Genomic DNA, 16452 nt, shown 5'->3' with positions numbered 1-16452 from the left:
ATTTCCAGGTCCTGTGTTCTGTTTTGTTTTGTTTTTTTCAAAAGCAGCTTGAAACCCAGATTTTTGTGTGGGGTTTTCAGGTTCCTAAAATATTAAATGAGTCAAATGAAAACAAATTTGCAGGACATCTCTGATCCACAGGCTGCCAATAGCAACTCTTAGTACAGAGCAAGAGGAAAACAAGGGCAGAAGGCGCATGAACACCTGTATTTGGGGTGTGAGAAAGGAGGAGAGAAAAAGGAGAGACATGCGTGTGCACAAGACAGGAGGAAAACTAAGATGGTCTCATGCCAGGAAGCCAAAGAGGAGCAGGAGACTAGTCATGTCATACTACAGAGAGGTCAAAGGGGAACAGGACAAACAAGTCAGTCTATTAGATTTGGCAACTGGGACGTCATTGGTGACCTTCAATCAGCAGTTTCAATAGAAGGAGAGGCACATCTGCCGGACTGCAAGGGATTCTGAGATGCGTAGGAGTCAGGAAGCGCAGGCGGGGAGTGCAAGGGACTCTTTCCAGAATTGGGCAACATATGAAAAAAGAAATGTGTGGGTTGGTAGCATGAAGGGTTACTAAGGCCAATGCAACTTTTTAGAACAAGGAAGACGAAATGTGTTTTAAGACAGGGGAAAAAAGGAGCTGGATAACAATGAGAGAGAGAAGGTACTCAAAAGAGGGAGCTGATCTGGATATGCTCCAGAGTGAGTCAGAGGGGGACTGAATCATGAGGCAGCATTAAAATGGGGCCCTGAGAGGAGAGAGGCCCTGAGATGGGAGAGGAGGATTGGAGAGGTGAGGACAGGAAGTGGAGGGGGAAATAGGGAACTCAGCATCAACAACCTCCACTTACTCAAGAGCATCCATGGCTGAGAGAGAAGGGGTTGAGGGATGGCAGGATTGCTGGGGAACTTAAGGAAGGTAGGGAAAACCAGAGCTGCCCATGGAGGCAGCGTGACCAGAGACAGGGAGCAGGATGGGGTGAGTCAGAGGATAGTTGCATGGCAGGAGGACCCTGCAACAGTGAGATGGTGGGAATTCTAGTGGACAGAGAGGGTCTCAGCAGCACCAGGGACACACCCAGAGGAATGAAACTGATGAGGTGGGAAAGGTATGTCAATAACAACAAGATAACAATGAGGGCAGGATGTTCATTTATTTGGTGCCATCTAAAAAGGCCACACAAGGTGGATGCCCAGTAAGTGCTGAAAAGCGGGTACAGCCTGCCAGGTCTGAACTTGACAGCCGGGGTTCTCGGCCATGTTGCTCAAAATAATGTGCATACAAGGATCTTGTTAAAATGCAGATTATGATCCCACAGATCTGGGTGGGGCATGAGATTCTGCCTTTATAACAAGCTCCCAGGTGATGCCAAAGCTGCTGGTTCACTATGCTATTCAAGTCATGGACCACTTGAATAGCAATATTCTCGGACCGTCCCAGGACCCACATTGCTCATTGGCCAAGCCCACAGTGGAGTAGAGAGAGAAGAAAAGCTGCTTCTGTGAACTTTGTGGTTAACTCTCAATCATCCACACCAATTGAGGGTGGGGCGGGGTGGGGCGGGGGGTGTCTCTCCATGCTGTTTCAAAGCAGTACAGAATTCGTTATTTGAGGTTGAGGGTGGTTGAAGTGTGTTTTGGGCTTGTTGCTTTTCATCCAATAGATTTGCTCTCCTGATTACATTGTGCTTAAACTTTGATTAAAATGAACTTTTCTTTCCTGTGGTCAGAAAGGAAAGGCAGCAGTGGCTGACATTTGTAATCCCAGCACTTTGGGAGGCTGAGGTGGGCAGATCACTTGAGGTCAGGAGTTCGAGATCAGCCTGGACAACATGGTGAAACCCCATGTCTACTAAAAATACAAAAATTAGCCGGGTGTGGTGGCACACACCTGTGGTCCCAGCTACTCAGGAGGCTGAGATGGGAGGATTGCTTGAACTCACGAGGTAGAGGTTGCAGTGAGCAAAGATCACGCCACTGCACTCCAGACTGGGTGACAGAGCAAGACTCTGTCTCAAAAAAAAAAAAAAAAAAAAAAAGAAAGAAAGGAAAGGAGAGGCAGCCAATTAGAGGTTGGATTTTTAAAGTACATAATAATATGAAAAATTATCCACATGTGAATAATGAAAAGTCAATAGGATTGGGACATATGAAATCAATAAACAGTCTAATGAAATAAAGGTGAATGGTATCATAGGGAAAAAACCCTGGTTTCAGGGAAACAGGAGACAGGCTTAGTCCTGACTAACTCTACCACTTTGTGGCATTGAGGCAGGTCTCTCTCTCTGCACTTTTGTTTACCTTCGATGAAAGAGCGAGGCCAGAATTCACTAAGATCCTTTCTAGCTTTTCCATTAAAGAGACATACATGCAAACCTCCCAAATGCTGAAGGAGCTGAGACACCAAAGAAGGGGGCAGACAAATCCAGTTTGTTGGTACTGGGTCATTGATTCAGGGAATGTACAGACAAAAGTGTGGTCTTGGGCACCCACAAGACAGGTAGATCTCCGCACTGTTACTCCTCAGACCCAAGGCTTATAGACCACAGGGAGAGGGTACATGTGCTCTAGCAAGACAATCAAAGGCGACCCTCCGGAACAGGCGAGGATGCTATGTGCGTCATTGCCTGTAATTTGTCTGATGACATCAAGGTTGACATGTTCTTACTGTGGAGACAGTAAGTAAAGTGGGAATCAAGAGCCATTCCTGGGACTAAGGCTAATCAGAAGTGAACACGGCAGATCAGCATCCAAGATGAAGTCACTTTTGTCCCCACCCTAGCCCTAATATTCTATTATTGTAACCTGGAGAACTGTGACTGTAGAATTCTCAGAACTGAACACACCTCTTTTGCTTTCATTCACCAAACATTTACTGGACACCTACAATGTGCGGGCACTGGTGTTGGACTCATAACAGACTCAGTCCCTGTCCTCTGGCAGCTCCTGGTCTAGCTGCGGAAAGAAAAATGCAGTGCTGCCTAGTAAGTGCTAGAGTAGTCATCAGCCTGGGGTGCTAGGGGAGCCCCCAGAAGCACACAGACTCCAACTGAGGAAGGAAGCAAAAGGCTTCCCCGAAGTGACGATGTGAGCTGAGTCTTAAAGAATGGGTAGGTTCAGCTCAAAAAAAAAAAAAAAGAAAAAAAAGAAAAGAAAGAGAGAAAAGAAAAGAAAAAGAGAAAGAGAAAAAAAAGTGAAGGAAGAAGGAAGATGAAGGGCAAGTGAATGGTGCTTAATTCAGTGTGGCTGGAGCAGGGTACTATGGCAGCCTGGGAGAGACATCCCTCTCTGCAGAACATTCACAACAACCCCTCACTGCTGCTGCTACAGAGAGAACAGACACCACCATGTCCCCTCCCTTCACGGTCCTCTGTGAGGTTGCTCAAGCAATTCCTATCACAGGTTCAATACCTTGAACATCCAGCACAAAAATCACAGAATGGGAGCAGGGGATCCCAGGAGGGAGGGGAAAAGAAGAGGTGAAGGTGCTGAGCCACCAGAAAAGGTATTGATCAGAGTGGCTTGTGACTCTGCATAACTAAAACTAAACACCACTGTGGAAAGGGGCCAGGGCTGTGCATGGAAGGCACATGCGGCTCTTCCCAAGAATGAAGGGGGCTCCAGGCCAGCGCCCGGCTTCCTGTTCATTTGCCCACATATTTATATGGGGAAAGCAAAGCATGCAGCCTTTGATTGCAGTGCTTCCTAATCCTGCTGCTCATTAGAAATACATGGGGAACTTTTAAAAACTACCTGCATTCGGCACTCTTCAGAAGAGGTCAGTGTCATGAAAAAAGTGGAGAATGGTTCTAGATTAAAGGAAACTATGGGAAACACAACAACTAGATGCAATGTCTGATTTATTTTTATTTTTATTTTTTTGAGAGGGAGTCTCGCTCTTGTCCAGGCTGGAGTGCAGTGGTGTGATCTCGGCTCACTGCAACCTTCGTCTCCCAGGTTCAAGCAATTCTCCTGTCTTGGCCTCCTGAGTAGCTGGGACTACAGCCTACTGTAGTCTGCCACCATGCCCAGCTAATTTTTGTATTTTTTACTAGAGACGGGGTTTCATCACATTGGTCAGGCTGGTCTTGAACTCTTGACCTCAGGTGATCCACCCACCTCAGTCTCCCAAAGTGCTGGGATTACAGGCATGAGCCACTGTGCCTGGTGCAATGTGTGATTTTTGATTGGATCCTGAATTTAAAAAGCAACAACAACAACTATAAAGAATACTATAGGGAAACTAGGGGAAATGTGACTATGACTAGGTGACAATATTATAGCCATGTTCTTTGGTGTGACAATGGTATTGTGGTTATGTCGGAGGATGTATTTGGGGATGCAGATCCATGATGTATACAATTAAATGGTCCAGCAAAAAAAAAGTATGTGCTGTACATACACGGGGGATGGGGAAGAGCTGAGAAGGCAAATGTGGCAAACTGAATAAGCGGCGGATCTTGGTGAAGGCTACGTGGGTGTTCATTGTGCTGCTCTTCCAACATCCCCTTATATTTGACATTTTTCAAAATAAAATGTTAAATGAGACTCAGGGGATGGCTCCCTGCCTCTGGATCCCTGGGTTTTAAAAGCTCCCCAGGGGATTCGAATGTGCATAATCCTGCATCATATCATCTGCTGCTGACTTTAGCTTTTGCAGAGAGCCCCTGCTGGCTTTCAGAGCTGTTAGGACCCTGCAGGGCCACACTGCCCTGGAGAGAGCCTTCTCATTGTTCCCGTGCCTCTGCTTCTAGGAGAGAAGGGGCTGTGTCTCCACTCCTCTTTGATGACCTGAGACTCATGGAGGTCCTGCTCTGTAGGTGATGCAGCCTGCTCACACCAGGCAGGACACACACCGTCCTTCCACCTGCCACCCTGCACCTTACTACCTGCAGTGTGCACTGGTGTGGTCCATGCCCCTACCTCCTGAACAGTAGTTCATGTTCTCACTCCACCAAAGGCGCACCTCTGAGAGATGTATTACAGAATCCAATCCAATGAAACTCTGGCCTCATTCATCGCATGATTGGTGCACCGTTGCTCCCTTTGAGTTGGAATACGTCGTAGGCTGAGGTGGGAGGCCTGCAGAGCAGCAGCGACTCAGGTGTGCTGCAGGGAGAATATGCAGGTGCTCATCTTGTTCTGCCTAAATACCTGCTGCGGGCTGAATGAGCTGGCAGTGGGTGATGGGGCTAACAGAGTCAACAGAATCCTGCAGAACCAGGAAATGTTCACATGTATAAAAATACTAGGAATATTTTTGCCTCATGAAAAAAGATGAACTTCTATCTTTTAGGAAACAAATTGCTTTGGAAACTCTATTCTTAGCTCAAGAACTGGGTAGGGAGGCTTGAAAGAGGCAACCAGGCAGGTAAAGGCAGCAATGCTAATAGGAAAGCAGTAGCTCCCCATCAGCACAGCCAGGCTGATGAAACTCAGCGCCCTAACCATGATAACTAACACTGCAAAATGCTCCCTAGGGCACTGATTTTTCCAACTTAGCTGCACAGTGGAGTCACTTGGGGAGCTTTGTAAAATACTGATGCTGAGTCTCACCCCAGAGATTATGACTTAATTGGTTTGGGATGAATTCTGGGCATCAGGATTTTTAAAATTTCCCCCAGGTGATTCTAATGTGCGGCAAAGTTTGAGCCCCTCTGCTAAGCAGGCTTCATGTTCATTAACACATTCAAGCTGCCCATCGTGGCTCAGCTGGTCCGGTGGTCACGTCTACCTTGGCCAGCCCTCTGCCCTCATGAGTGCAGGCCCACGTGGGATGCACAGACACTAGGTCACTGGCTCCTCAAAATCTGGCCCCTCCAACAGGTAGAAAAAAGGTTTTGACCAGCCAGGACAGATGGACCTTGAGAGGTCAGAAGTGTTTCCTGCTCTGGAAAAAAACAGGGCAATGGTTTGCCTCTGCCTGCATACTGGAGCTATCTTGGCAGCATTTATAAAATGCTGAGGCCCTAACCTCACCTCCTGAGTTTCCAATTCAATGATGAGGTTCGGACATGGAAATTAAAAGCTAGCCCTTACAACCAATGTGTTTCTGCAGGCCCAGGACAGTAAAGGTAGAGGATACTATCTCAGCGAAGTCTCCCCCGACCAGCAAGGACAGGGCCCGAGGAGTGGGGAAGAAATGAGAGGGAAGGGAAGAGAGGGGAAAGAGAAGTTAGGATCTTGGTGTCTGCAAGGTCTCTAGTAGAAGTCTCCACCTTGGCAGGCCATCAGAATCCTCTGAGAGCTTTTGAAAACACCACGGTCTGTGCCCCCTTGACCAATCAGGTGAGACTCTCTGGGGGTGGGGTCCTGCATCTGGATCCTTGGGTTTTAAACGTCCCCCAGTGGGTTGAAATGTGCTGCTGAGATTGAGAAAGCTGGTCTCTGAGAAGAAGTTCCTGACTGCTCAATTCTGCATCTACCTTGGGCTGCGCCTGGGGCTGAGGACAGAAGGCCGCCTCTGCAACAGGCCAGCCTGCACCCTGGAGCATCCAGTCATGGTGACGCTGGTGTGGGGAAACAGACACTCTCTTATACTGCTGGTGGGAATACATCTGCTTTGACCTGTCTGAGAAAGTAATCTGACAATTTTAAGAAAAGTATAAATTTATATACCCTCTTGCCTGACGATCCCACTCCTGGGATATAAGCCCACAAAGGTATTTACTGCAGGGTTGGGGCCAAATAAACAGAACTGAAAACATACATAAGGTCTATAAATATGAAAATGGCTAAATAAATTGTGTGTACTATGGAATATTATGAAAGCTTGTGTAATTATTTTTAAGAGAAACCTATAGCTATTGACCTACAAGGGTATCGGTGATGTAATGGTATGTGGGGAAAAAACTAGTTATAGGAAAACAACTTTTCCATTATTAGGAAAGAGAAACAAAAAAAAAACTGAGCTGGAGTGTATATCTGTGCATACATGTATTTGTCTATCTAAATGCAAGTGGAGATACAGCATGACGGGAGGATACAAACCCAGCTTTTATGTCAGAGAGTTAGGAAGGACAAGGGTGGGGCAGCTTATTAATATTTTCTTCATATCAACTTTGCATCATTTTACTAGTGAAAATATGAACATATTATTTTTATAACTGAAACAATTAATAACGAAAAATGAAATAGCATGCTCCAAGGAAAGACTGCCTGGATTTAAACCCCAGCTTTGCATGTACTAGCTTATGTTACTTAACTTCTCTGTCCCTCAATTTCCTCCTCAGTGTAAAGGGGACCATAACGATGTCTACATCCCAGGGCTGTCGCGAGTGAGATCATCCAACCAAGCACTTTGTACAACGTCTGGCATATTATACCACATATAATACCTTAATAAATGTTGTTATAGAAAAAAACACTTAAGCCTCTGTTGCGAGCTGAATGTTCATCTCCCCATAAAATTCACATGTTGAAACGCTACCCCCTAATGTGATGGTGTTAGGAAGTGGGGTCTCTGGGAGTTGATTAGGATTAGATGACAACATGAGGGTGGAGCCCTCGTGAATGGGATTAGTGTCCTGATAAAGGGTGCAGAGAGAGCTTGCCCCTCCACCATGTAAGGCTGCAGCAAGAAGACAGCTGTCTATGAACCAGGAAGTGGCCCTCTACAGATGCTGAATTGTCTGGCACCTTAATCTTGGACTTCCCAGCCTCCAGAGCTGTGAGAGATACATTTGTGTTGTTAAGCCACTGAGTCTAGGGTATTTTGTTATAGCAGCACAAAGATAGCCACTGAGAACCAATCTTCCATGTCTAGCTAACCTCGCCTCCTCCAGCAAAAAAAAAAAAAAAGAACCCGAGCCCCCCTTCCACTCTCTGCATAGCAGTGTGACACCCCCTAGTGGCCTCTCCAGAAGCTTATGCATGCCATGGCTTCCGGGCAGCCAGCATAGCACCATGGGTGGTCAGGGCCCTTCATCACTTCCTTCAGCCCCAGCATGGGTCAATGCTGTCCTGCTCTCAAGTGACAACTTCTGGGCAGTGAAGTGCCTGGGATCTCCTGGGAAGGGACATCCCATAAACAAAAATAATTACAATAATTACATGACTTTGGCCCTACTCAGCAAGTGGCACCTCTGCAGAAGTTCACATGGCAGATGTGGATTTTGTCCTGACTCTGTGCCTGCTGGGGAAACAGGCACTGGAGCTAATTAGAATGACGAATGACCCATGCCCTGTCCAACATGTGTTGAGCCAACCATCTAGGTCCAGGGGACAGGCTCTGCACTCTGCTCCCTGCAAGAGGTGTGGTAGCATGGAGAGGCAGGACCCAGTCCCTTCTGTTTGGGCCCTTTCTCCAGGAGAATGATGGGAGAAAGTATTCACAGACTTTACTGAGGATAACTTTGCTTTTGATCTTGATAAACACAATAAAACCCAATGAAAGAGGATCCAAGTCTTGCCCTTTCTTTCTCTAAAGCACATCTGGGATAATGAGAAAGTGCTAGGAAAATTAAAACCCAGAAACTCACTATTCACTCTATTTGCCATTCACCAAAGAACAGAATTCAAGGGCAGGTAAATCATTTCTCCTAGCCAATGGGATGTTGTTTCCATGAAAACTCTTCTCTAGTGCAGAGATCCTGTTGCAGACTGAAACATGTCCTCCCAAATTTTATACGTGGAAGCCCTAACTCCCAGTACCTCAGAATGGGACAGTAAGTATTTGGAGACAGAGTCTTCAAAGAAGCAATTAGGTTAAATGTGGTCATTAGGGTGGGCCCTATTATTGCCAAGACCCTATTAACCTCACTAGGGAGGGTACCAGATTCAAGAGTCTGAAGAAGAGACCCAGAGCTAGCAAACAAGACGTGGGGTTTTATTAGTGGCCTCCATACAGGGGAGAGAGTCCAGTGGTGGCAAGCTGGACAGGAGAACTACCTTATATACAGAAATGGTCCAGCGGTGATGGGCTGGACAAAATATCCGCCTTCCTACAGTGCAGTGGCAGTGGGCTGGACAACACATCCACCTTCCTACAGTCCAGTAGGCGGTGGGCCAGACAAGATAACCGCAGGGCCCAGTGGAAGCAGGGCAGGCAAGAAAACCACAACCTCCTGCAAACATCATGCAGCTTATAAGACATTTTCATTTAACACTCTCCCCTAATGACCCCCACATGGCAACCTTCATTCAACCCAAAGCTCAGGGCCTCAATCCCCTGTGCAGTGCATGTCCCTGACAAGTGGGACAGGTAGGGGGTGAGGGGCTCAGATTTTTATCATAGATAAGGTATGAATCTCTGGGTTGGCCACACACAGGTTCCCCAGCTTGGAACACACATTCAGATGCATCTGCCATATAGGGCCATTCTAAAGGTATGCTTAAATTATTGCTGTCAGATGGATTTACCCTATAGACCCTAACCTGGTATGACTAGTGTCCTTAAAGAAGAGGAAATTAGGACACGGACACACAGAGGAATGATCACGTGGAGACAGTGAGAAGGTGGCCATACACAAGCCAAGCAGAGAACCCTCAGAAGGAACCAACCCTGCCGACACGTTGATCTAGTACTTCTAGCCTCCAGACCTGTGAGAAGAAGAATGCCTGTGGCTAAAGCCACCCAGCTGCTGTGTTATGGCACCCCTGGCTGACATTCAGCTGCCGAAGGGCCAGGAGAAGGGGGTACAGTGTCCTCTGAAGGTTCTTTCTCTCAAGACATCAGTTTCAACAGTCTCTTGAGGTTGAAACAATGCCTTTGGTCAAAACTTCTTAGCCCATTTTTGACTTGGAGGGTGAGAATCAGTGGAGAAGAGATGGTAGTCAGACTAGAGAAGAGAACAGGGCCCATCCGCATGAGGCTAATGGTGGATCCTGGGAATGGTTATGCCCGGGAATGTCCAGGGATGGTGCCAAGCTTGCTCTGAAAAACTCAAAGATGTGGAAGTATTCTGGGAAAAGTAGGGAAACGTGTCTTCAATCCCTAGAGCATGGAACATAAGGACTATCAGAAAGGGCAGGGATTTGGGTGTGAATCCAGACCCTGCACTTACTAAGTGACCTCTCAGCTCCCCATCTCCACATCACAGCAGTGTGGTAAGAACAAGTGAAACACTTGTAAAGCATGTAGCACATGTAAAGCATGTAGCAGTCACCATGGAGTTTGTTCCACTCATTCATTCATTCATTCATTCCATCAGCAAAGCATTACTGGCTATGTGCTGCGCTGGCTGCAGGCAGAGTTCCGCAAGTGAACCAGATTCACAATTAGTGCCCTTACTCATCTTCTAGTCTGCTAAGGAAAGCACGCTTTTTACAAATTATTATACCTTCTGAATTCCACCTATACCTACCTTCCTTTTAAAGCCCAGAATATGTGTGCTTGAAATACATTATCAATAACTCAGAATGACCCAGCATTGGCAATTGGTATCACCACTGTCAAAAAATGTGAAGTACCCAATGGCATGTATTAAAGTCTAGCTCATGCAGAGACTTCTACAGTTTCTCTCAGAAGACATATAGTTTGTCATTTATCAGTACACCCTGCCTAAGTGGTTCCTTTATTTGGTTCCCACCAGGACACCAGTGGCACTGGTGCTACCTTATGCTGGTGCGCTGAGTGGTAACAGCAGTGATGTCACCACTAAAAGGCCACAATAGCAGAGCTGTTCTTGCTGCGTGTTCCCCGCCTACCTCCTTGTGCTATAATCGGTGATCATTGTCCTCCAGAATCTCATCATTGCTTTGACCATTTGGCTGATACAGAAAGGAAACAGGATGGCTTTTCTGTCCCTTTATAATAATGGCACTTTGCATTTGTATAGCACATTTAACTTATTCAGTGCATTTTCTTGTCTACTGCTGGGTCTTATCCTAATGAAACAAAACTCCATGAGTTGTGTAATTGTCTGTGCCACACAGACAGCTCAGAAATCAGAGCCAGTGAAACTCAGTTCTGGAGGAGGACCAATGCCCCAAATTGCTTAAGGAATAACAAGTCCCATAGAAGTTACAAATGGAGCCAGCATGATAACTCGGCAATGCAGCTTTTCCGTGGGGAGAAGATATGTCTGGAGCATGCGAATTAATTCAGCACAAGCTGGGAGCTCAGAGGAATTCTCTCTTATTGTCCCCACCTAGGTACAGGCTGGCATGGTTTTACCTTTAGAGAGGGGCAGTAGGAGTTGGAAAGAGTGAGAGGCAGAGACTGGATAATGCAACCAAGAATAAGAGGTTATTAGGATTTGTAAGATTGGCCCATTTTGTGGCCCAGAAACAGGACCCAGAAATGTTTCTTGCTTCTTCAGCAATTTGGAAAAGGGCAAGAATGAGTGCCTGGAAGGGTGAGCATTCTGGGGGTTGAAAAACAGAATCTTTACTTCTCATCACATTCTGGAAAATGAAGCATCTGGAAGCAGAGTTCCCACCATGAAAAGCACGTGGCTCGTGGATGACTTGCAATGAGTCATCCCACTGGGCTGACCATCTCCCTGGAATTTAGGAAGTAACTCCTTCAGTCCACTTGGGCACCTGTTGGCAAATTATTGCTTTTACTCTGCTACCATTTTGAAAATTACGGCTCTCTAAATCATACCCTGGAGAACGGAGAGAGTGAAAATGCCTCCCCACCTGCACTATTCTCCCACTCAGTGATCCTCAGCTTGGCTACACATTAGAATCATCTGGAGAGCTGTTAAAAAAACAAGTGCCAAGCTGCACTTCAGAAATTCCGGGGGGCGGGACAAAGGCAGCAGGATTTTTTAACCTCCGCAAGCAATTTCGGCGTACAGCCAAGGTTGCAAACTAGCGCTCTAACTAGGTCCACTACAATGCTCCCCCACTGGGCACTGAGGGTGCTCTGATGTGACAAGCACGTCACACCTGTCATGGCCTTTCTCTGGTCTTCTCCACATGCCTTTATCCCATGCTCAGCAGTGGGAATTCCTGCTCACGCATTATGAAAATCATAGCCCATGGTATTTGTGGTTGCCAGTCTCGTGTTGACTAAACTTTGCAGCTAGCTAACATGCATCTGACACCATGCTAAGCAATGTAGCAGTTGCAGAAACCAGAAGGACGGTATCCTTGTCTTCAAGAATACAACTGTGTAAAATACATGTCCAGGCAACTATCATATAAGGTGCTAGGTGATCAGCGCTTTGAGGGACTCTCAGGCAGGAATGCAGAGAAAAAGCAAGATTTCTTTTAGCTGTACTGAGCATGTCTTCACAACTGACACACCACATACACACACACACACACACACACACAAATTTATCCCCTTCAGCACATAACAACCAACTATGTACATGGTAGGTGCTAAATGAATTCCAGTTGAAAGAATGAATAAATTCAGATTGGTACCTATTGGGCTGTTCCATCAAAGCCAACAGCCAGCACTTCCCAGCTCCCCACAACCCATACAATGCCCAGCCTCCTCCAGGTCCCACTTAATATCATTCAACCTGTGACACCTCGTCTTGCTCCTCTCCCACCTCACATTCCTGCCCTTAGTTTTCCAGAGTGCACATCAGTGGCTGTGTGCCCTGCACAGGCTGCGCTGCTGACCGACTTCCTCCATGAGACAGAGATCTGCAGCCGTCCTCCTAAGTCCTCACTCCCATTTCTCTGGAATAAAGTCCCTGATGTTGAGCTGAGCACACAGCCCCACAGAATCAAGACTAGATTCTGCCATTTGCCTAAGATCTGGCCAAACAGTTAAAGAGAAGTGGTGTGTGTGACTTCTGGGTCACTTCCTTCAAAGAAATGGCCCTTTTCCTCTTGCCTCCTCCATCCTGCTACTTGAAAGGAGGTCATGATGTGATGTCCTCATGGTCCACATGGACAAGGAAATTCCCTGAAAATGACAGAGCTCCAAAGATGGGAGGAGCCTGGGTCTCTAGACAGCTTTGTGAGGCCGAGTCCCACCCACCCCATTCCAGCCTGGACAGGCCTCCCAAGGCAGAGTGAGCCCCATCATGTTTCAGTCACGGTTATAGTGGGTCTCTGTTACTCACAGACCCAAACCCATATCCCAATACGCTTTCCTGCCTCTCACACATCCTACGATCCCAGAGTTCCTTGTTACATTAATGAGAGGAGAAGGATATTATGAAAACCCAAATTGTTTCTGTCAGAACAATCAATGATTTGGTGACTTCTCATAGCAAAACTCCCAAGAGTCCCTAAATCTTTATTGCTGAGAAGGTCAGGCTGTGACAATCTGCTCTGCCTCTGCCGATGAATGCAGTAAGGGGACCAGCCTAGTTTCATCTGGTCCAGACTACAGGGGAGCCTGAGCGATCATCATTCTTTTCACAGGCCCTGCAGAGATTGGCCCCTAGGGCAGTGGTAAGAAGCTCTGTAAAGTTATGGAAAATAACGGACTCCTATGAATGTGAGGAATTAGAAGCAGCAAGGGTTGAGGACTGTGAACATGGACTCTGGGACCAGACCTATGAGCTGGGTGACCTTGAACAAGGTACTGACCATCTGGTGAGCAGATAATTTCACCCAACTCACAGGGTTGCTGTGAAGGTTCGGTTCACAGCAGTTCCAGGCCTCTCTGTAAACCTGCTGAACCTGAACTTACCAGAATTGAGGGGACTGCATTAGTTAGGGCTCTCCAGTAAAACAGAACCAACAGGGGTGTGTGTGTGTGTGTGTGTGTGTGTGTGTGTGTGTGTTTAGAAAGAGAGAGATTTTAAGGAACAGGCTCATGCAACTGTAGAGATTTGGTAAGTTCAAAATCTGCAGAGTGGGCTGGCAGGCCAGAGACCCACGGAAGAGTCAAGTTGTGGTTGAAGTCTGAAAGCCGACTGCTGGCCAAATCCACTCTTGCTCAGGAGAGCTCAGTCTTTCTGCTCCAGTAAGGCCTTCAACTGATTGAGTGAGGCCCACCCACAGAAGAAAAGATAATGTGCTTTACTCAAAGTCCAATTTATTTTTTAAATTTTATTTCAATAGTTTTTGGGGAGCAGGTGGTGTTTGGTTACATGGATAAGTTCTTTAGTGGTGATTTCTGAGATTTTGGTGCACCCATCACCTGAGCAGTGTACACTGTACCCAACGTGTAGTCTTTTATCCCTCACCCCCTCCCACCTTTCCCCCAAAATCCCCAAAGCCCGTTATATCATTTTTATGCCTTTGCATTCTCATAGCTTAGCTCCCACTTATAAGTGAGAATATATGATATTTGGATTTCCATTCCTGAGTTTCTTCACTTAGAATAATGGCCTCCAGTTCCATCCAAGTTGCCGCAAAGGCCTTTATTTCATTATTTCATTCCATTTCATGGCTAAGTAGTATTCCATGGTGTATACATGCCACATTTTCTTTCCACTCGTTGGCTGATGGGCATTTAGGTTGGTTCCATAATTTTGCAATTACAAATTATACTACTATAAACATGTGTGTGCATGTGTCTTTTTCATATAATGAAAGTCTGATTTAAATGTTAACCTCATCCAAAAAATACACCCTCACAGAAACAACCAGAACAATGTTTGATCACATATCTAGGCACCGTGACCTAGCCAAGGTGACAGATAAAATTAACTATCCTGGGTGGATAGGAATCTACCTTGCGGAGTCGTATGTTTAATCATCAATCCAGATTCAACGTGAGGAACAGCCAGGTTTAGGGACCCTCTCAATGACACAACCTAAAGTCCCTGACAGTTTTAGGGTTTCTTCTCCTGCTGCCATGAGGGCTGCTGGACTTCTTTACTTTTTGAAACTGGTTGTGACGGCCCCACATTCATCTCAAAACCAACTTTCTGTTGTGTCTCAGGTGAGGAAGGTGTTCTCTCCACACACAGCCAGGACATAGCAACTTGTGGAAATGCTCCCAAGTCCAGGGCTCAGCTCATCCTGGGCTGTCTGCAAAGGAGCTGGCAGCTGGCAACATCTGTCTGCTGTCAACTTCTCTGGGTGGAAGCTCTTGTCCCTCTCCTCTCCTCCTCCACAGATCCAGTTCTCCAGACCCTGGGGAGCCATCCTGGCATTGCTTAGGAATCCCCAGAACATCTACCAAACACTCAAGTCACCAAATATTTCCCAGAGTGTCTCTCTACCGTGGCCCCCCATGGGGCATTTTCAAAATACAGATGACTAGACCCTCGCAAGAACTACTGGAGCAGATCTTCTGGAAGTGATTCTTAAGCAGATATATGTTGAAACATCTCCAGAGGTGATCTTGATATGCAAAAAAATTAGAAACCACCAGTTCCACTAATGACGAATACTGGAGACCAGCAGACTCTAACATTTGCTACTTCCTGATACGATCCTAGCATAGGAATTTTCACAATCAAGGCAGCAAGGTCTGACTGAAGAATATCCACACCCTTTGCCCCTAACTTTGTAGTCCCCCCATGCTGACCAAAGCTTGAAAAGGTGCTTGCGCATTTCCACTTCTTCTCTTGCTTCTCTGTTACACCAGGAGAACAAGCCTCAGGTGGTCGCTGGAGGATGAGATGTGTCTGAGGCTGACTGAGATGAGCTAATGGCCTGCTGCCCACCAGATACAAGAATGAGCTCCAGCCAAGACCAGAAGAACATCCCCCCTGCCCAAGCGCAGCCAAGGTCAACAGAACTGACCACATGACCCATGGACTCGTGAGAAATAAATTATGGTTGCTGTAAGCTGGTTTGATACCTTATTATCAGGGCAATAGAGAACTAACAAGGATAGGGCCAACCAGCTACCCAGATCCCCAGTGAAAAGCCAGTGCCCATGTGTTAGGGATTTGTTTGTAAAGTCTTCAGTTCGCCTGCTGCGGCCCTAGGGAAGGAGTGAAGTGAGGACAAGTCCCCTCCAACTTCTGGTTCAGCAACCCCATGACAGCACCACAGTTTACGCATCAAGGAAAATGTTCCCTCTTTCCCTCTGACTAACAAGGAGTTTGCCACGGAAAGCGTCTGAAAATAAATTATACATGAGACATGGTTTCTGAACTAGTTACAACTTTTGTTCCAGGATATTTTTACCTCTCTTCAAATATTCCCTCCAGGGGTGAACTACCCTACCAAGAAGTTAAATGAAATTAGAAAAAGAGCCTTAAAAGAATCCACTCGGACCCATCAACAGTGAGCCAAGCATCTTACAGGCTCCCTGAGGCCCTATGTGGTTTCGGTATCCGTAGCTTCCCTTTAAAACAGCTGAGCCATGTTACTGTAGCGGTGGTCCTTAAGGAGCATGTTTCGAAAAGAAGCAGCAATCTCCCTTATAATGTGGTGATCAGAAATGTGGACTCTGGTCACATGGGCTTGCCTTCAAATCCCAGCTCTATCACTTAAGAAATAGGAGACTCTCGGATATATACTTAACCTCTCTAAGCCTCAATTTCCTTTTCTGTTAAGTGTGGCTTTTAATAATGACTACTTCATAGGGTTGTTGTGAGATTAAAGGAGTTAATACTTTTAAAGGCATACAGTAGTCAGCATCACTATTTCCATGCTTTAGAAATCCTCCCAAGAAACAGAGAATTCTGATCTAGA

At 46.3% G+C, this 16452-nt stretch overlaps 1 protein-coding gene across 16 annotated transcripts in view, besides 1 other annotated feature; it reads right to left on the bottom strand.

The window, feature by feature from the left end:
• CNIH3 (cornichon family AMPA receptor auxiliary protein 3) overlaps positions 1-16452 on the bottom strand; it is a 305915-nt gene that overhangs the window by 31560 nt on the left and 257903 nt on the right. The gene's annotated exons all lie outside the window — the stretch shown is intronic.
• Positions 10359-10860: an enhancer, noted in NCBI's record as "NANOG hESC enhancer chr1:224885837-224886338 (GRCh37/hg19 assembly coordinates)". NCBI's record gives its function as "activates a minimal SCP1, AML or CMV promoter by ChIP-STARR-seq in naive H9 embryonic stem cells {active_cell/tissue: H9 hESC(naive)}" and the evidence as "EXISTENCE:reporter gene assay evidence [ECO:0000049][PMID:30033119]".

Source organism: Homo sapiens, chromosome 1, assembly GCF_000001405.40.
Source record: "Homo sapiens chromosome 1, GRCh38.p14 Primary Assembly".
Lineage (NCBI taxonomy): Eukaryota > Metazoa > Chordata > Mammalia > Primates > Hominidae > Homo > Homo sapiens.
This window is presented reverse-complemented; position numbering and strand designations above follow the sequence as displayed.